This window comes from Homo sapiens, chromosome 1 (assembly GCF_000001405.40).
Source record: "Homo sapiens chromosome 1, GRCh38.p14 Primary Assembly".
Classification (NCBI taxonomy): domain Eukaryota; kingdom Metazoa; phylum Chordata; class Mammalia; order Primates; family Hominidae; genus Homo; species Homo sapiens.
Window position 1 is genome coordinate 86,180,308 of NC_000001.11, and position 4,651 is coordinate 86,184,958.

Here is a 4,651-nt window from a genome sequence, read left to right on the forward strand (position 1 = left end):
CTTTTCTTTTATTATACTCTAAGTTCTAGGGTACAAGTGCACAATGTGCAGGTTTGTTATGTATGTATACATGTGCCATGTTGGTGTGCTGCACCCATCAACTCGTCATTTAACAACAGGTATATCTCCTAATGCTATCCCTCCCCCCTCCCCCCTCCCCACAACAGGCCCCGGTGTGTGATGTTCCCCTTCCTGTGTCCATGTGTTTTCATTGTTCAATTCCCACCTATGAGTAAGAACATGCAGTGTTTGCTTTTTGTCCTTGCGATAGTTTGCTGAGAATGATGGTTTCCAGCTTCATCCACGTCCCTACAAAGGGCATAAGCTCATCATTTTTTATGGCTGCATAGTATTCCATGGTGTATATGTGCCACATTTTCTTAATCCAGTCTATCATTGTTGGACATTTGGGTTCATTCCAAGTCTTTGCTATTGTGAATAGTGCTGCAATAAACATACGTGTGCATGTATCTTTATAGCAGCATGATTTATAATCCTTTGGGTATATACCCAGTAATGGGATGGCTGGGTCAAATGGTATTTCTCGTTCAACATCCCTGAGGAATCACCACACTGACTTCCACAATGGTTGAACTAGTTTACAGTCCCACCAACAGTGTAAAAGTGTTGCTATTTCTCCACATCCTCTCCAGCACCTGTTGTTTCCTGACTTTTTAATGATTGCCATTCTAAGTGGTGTGAGATGGTATCTCATTGTGGTTTTGATTTGCATTTCTCTGATGGCCAGTGATGATGAGCATTTTTTCATGTGTCTTTTGGCTGCATAAATGTCTTCTTTTGAGAAGCATCTGTTCATATCCTTTGCCCACTTTTTGATGGGGTTGTTTGTTTTTTTCTTGTAGATTTGTTTAGTTCATTGAAGATTCTGGATATTAGCCCTTTGTCAGATGAGTAGATTGCAAAAATTTTCTCCCATTCTGTAGGTTGCCTGTTCACTCTGATGGTAGTTTCTTTTGCTGTACAGAAGCTCTTTAGTTTAATTAGATCCCATTTGTCAATTTTGGCTTTTGTTGCCATTGCTTTTGGTGTTTTAGACATGAAGTTCTTGCCCATGCCTATGTCCTGAATGGTATTGCCTAGGTTTTCTTCTAGAGTTTTATGGTATTAGGTCTAACATTTAAGTCTTTAATCCATCTTGAATTAATTTTTGTATAAGGTGTAAGGAAGGGATCCAGTTTCAGCTTTCTACATATGGCTAGCCAGTTTTCCCAGCACCATTTTTTAAATAGGGAATCCTTTCCCCATTTCTTGTTTTTGTCAGGTTTGTCAAAGATCAGATGGTTGTAGATACGCGACATTATTTCTGAGGCCTCTGCTCTGTTCCACTGGTCTAGATCTCCGTTTTGGTACCAGTACCATGCTGTTTTGATTACTGTAGCTTTGTAGTATAGTTTGAAGTCAGGTAGGGTGATGCCTCCAGCTTTGTTCTTTTGGCTTAGGATTGACCTGGCAATGCAGGCTCTTTTTTGGTTCCATATGAACTTTAAAGTAGTTTTTTTCCCATTCTGTGAAGAAAGTCATTGGTAGCTTGATGGACATGGCATTGAATCTATAAATTACCTTGGGCAGTATGGCCATTTTCACGATATTGATTCTTCCTACCCATGAGCATGGAATGTTCTTCCATTTGTTTGTATCCTCTTTTATTTCATTGAGCAGTGGTTTGTAGTTCTCCTTGAAGAGGTCCTTCATGTCCCTTGTAAGTTGGATTCCTAGGTATTTTATTCTCTTTGAAGCAATTGTGAATGGGAGTTCACTTATGATTTGGCTCACTGTTTGTCTGTTATTGGTGTATAAGAATGCTTGTAATTTTTGCACATTGATTTTGTATCCTGAGACTTTGCCTATCAGCTTAAGGAGATTTTGGGCTGAGACAATGGGGTTTTCTAGATATACAATCATGTCATCTGCAAACAGGGACAATTTGACTTCCTCTTTTCCTAATTGAATACCCTTTATTTCTTTCTCCTGCCTGATTGCCCTGGCCAGAACTTCCAACACTATGTTGAATAGGAGTGGTGAGAGAGGGCATCCCTGTCTTTTGCCAATTTTCAAAGGGAATGCTTCCAGTTTTTGCCCATTCAGTATGATATTGGCTGTGGGTTTGTCATAGATAGCTCTTATTATTTTGAGATACGTCCCATGAATACCTAATTTATTGAGAGTTTTTAGCATGAAGGGCTGTTGAATTTTGTCAAAGGCCTTTTCTGCATCTATTGAGATAATCATATGTTTTTTGTCGTTGGTTCTGTTTATATGCTGGATTACGTTAATTGCTTTGTGTATGTTGAACCAGCCTTGCATCCCAGGGATGAAGCCCACTTGACAGTCTTGCTATGTCGCCCAGCTGGAGTATAGTAGCGTGATCTCTGCTCACTGCAACCTCTGCCTCCTAGGTTCAACTGATCCTCCTGCTTCAGCCTCCTGAGTAGCCGGGACTACAAGCATGCGCCACTATGCCAGGCTCATTTTTGTATTTTTAGTAGAGACGGGGTTTCGCCATGTTGGCCAAGCTGGTCTCGAACTTCCGGCTTCAAATGATCCACCCACCTCAGCCTCCCAAAGTGCTGGGATTACAGGCTTGAGCTGCTGCGTGCCCAGCTATTAAGCCCCTTTTCAAGTGTTTATTAGGCATACATCTATCCTTGAAGAAATAGCTATTCAAATATTTTCCCCATTTTTAAGTTGTTTTTATTTTTATTTTTTTAGTTGTAGGAGTTATTTATATATTTTTGCCATCCTAATGGGTGTGTGTGTTGGATCTTTTATGCCATCAAATACACTAAGCTTATTCTTTCACAAGATGAAACCATTTAAAATTTTTAGAAGATGACGGCAAGAGATTTAAATTTTAGGTGGTTCAATCTAGAGAAGTTAAGGAGAAAGATTGAAGGAGGTGAGGCCAGAAGCAGGAATGCAATTTAGAACCTCTTATAATTGTTAGTCAAGAAACAACAAAGACCACTGGTAGTGGAGTTGGGCAGGAAGAAATATACATGAGATTTTAACAGGGCACTATCAAAAGTGATGGATGACTGGTGGCAAAAATCCAAAAAATTTTCTGGTTTCTGACCTAGGAGACTGAGTGGATGGTGGCATCATTCACCAAATTCAGGAGTCTAACGAAAGGTAAAACCAACTTTGGATAAATTGAACATGAGGTACCTGTGAGGCAGACAGGTAATATGTTGGTGATGAATATATTGACTTGGAGCTCAGCATGAAAGTGTGGGCTTGAGATACACTTCTCACTGTGAGCATGAACTATGAAACATAGATTGTCCAGGGATAATGTGTGAAATAAGAATATTGGTTTCCTAGGAACACCTAAATGGGCCAGGCAGAGAAAGAGAAGCTCACAAAGAAGAGCAAGAAAGACTATCCACACTGGTAAAATGTGCAGTAATACAATTTCAGATCAAAATAAGAACTCTGTAAAAATTAGAGTTGTCCAAAAATGGGGAAAAACCTTTTATTGAGAGTGAGTCCCCAGCCCCTGGAGTTGTCAGAAGCAGGACAACAACTGACTGACTCAATTGCATATCACAGGAAGGACCCATTCCCTGATAAGGATTTGGTTTCCATGCCAACAGTGCACTTCTTAATGACTACGAAAACTTACTGTTTCATCAGAACATGAGAATTTACAAATCCTTGGGAGCTCTTTGCTTGTTTAATATTTGAGCTTTCCAGGGCTGTTTGAATTCATTAAGAAGAAATACATGAGCCTTTTTTTAGTTTTCCAAGTCAAGGGCCAGGCATATCCCACTCAGAAATTGTTGCAAATATTTTGGGAATCTAAGCCAAAATAATAACAGTGATTGTCTCATAAATAATCCTTGCTGAAAGATTTGGACTTAATGGCCAAAACATTTTGGTTCCTGTAAGATAAGTAAAAGAACTTGCCAGTATCTCGGCAGATAACTCCTCCTGTGTCAAAGAAAGGCTCTGTTATAGTTCTATTTATAGTTATTAAATATGAATATGGGAACATAATGAATAAAGAAAATATGAATAAGAACATAAACCAGAATTACCCTTGTTCTATGTCCCTCATTACAAGGTTTACAGAATCCCAGGAAAATGGAAAGCAACGGAGTAAAATCTCTCCAAAGACCCACTTGATAAATGTTCCATCTTCTGGCTGGGAGGAGAGAGAAACCTTCGCCTGAGTCCTCTACTTGGGTCTCTAACTCATAATGAGGCCCACCTGCTTTAATATGCTGACTGACAGCACAGCTGCATTCTCTCAGACAAGGTCTGCTCCCAAGATACACCAGACCTGGATGAAGTTCAGATCACCAGTTACTGTAATCCCATTGTTGGTCTCCAAGGAATGGTAACTGGCTTTCCAAACAAATGGGAATAGTTTGGGAAACATCTCTGTAGTCTACACACAGGCAAAACTGTTTGGAGATGAAGGCAATGTATTCTTATTGTCTCAAAGTCTGAATTATTCATACTTAATGTCCCCCCATCCCCCACCATTCCTGCAAGGGACGAGAAAGGGAGCTTCTATAAACTGTACCATTCTAATATCCTTCGTTTAGTGTCAGTGATGAATTGAATTCTGCCTCTATCATTTATTAGCTGTATAACCTTGGATATCTTTGCCTCAGTTTCCTTATCT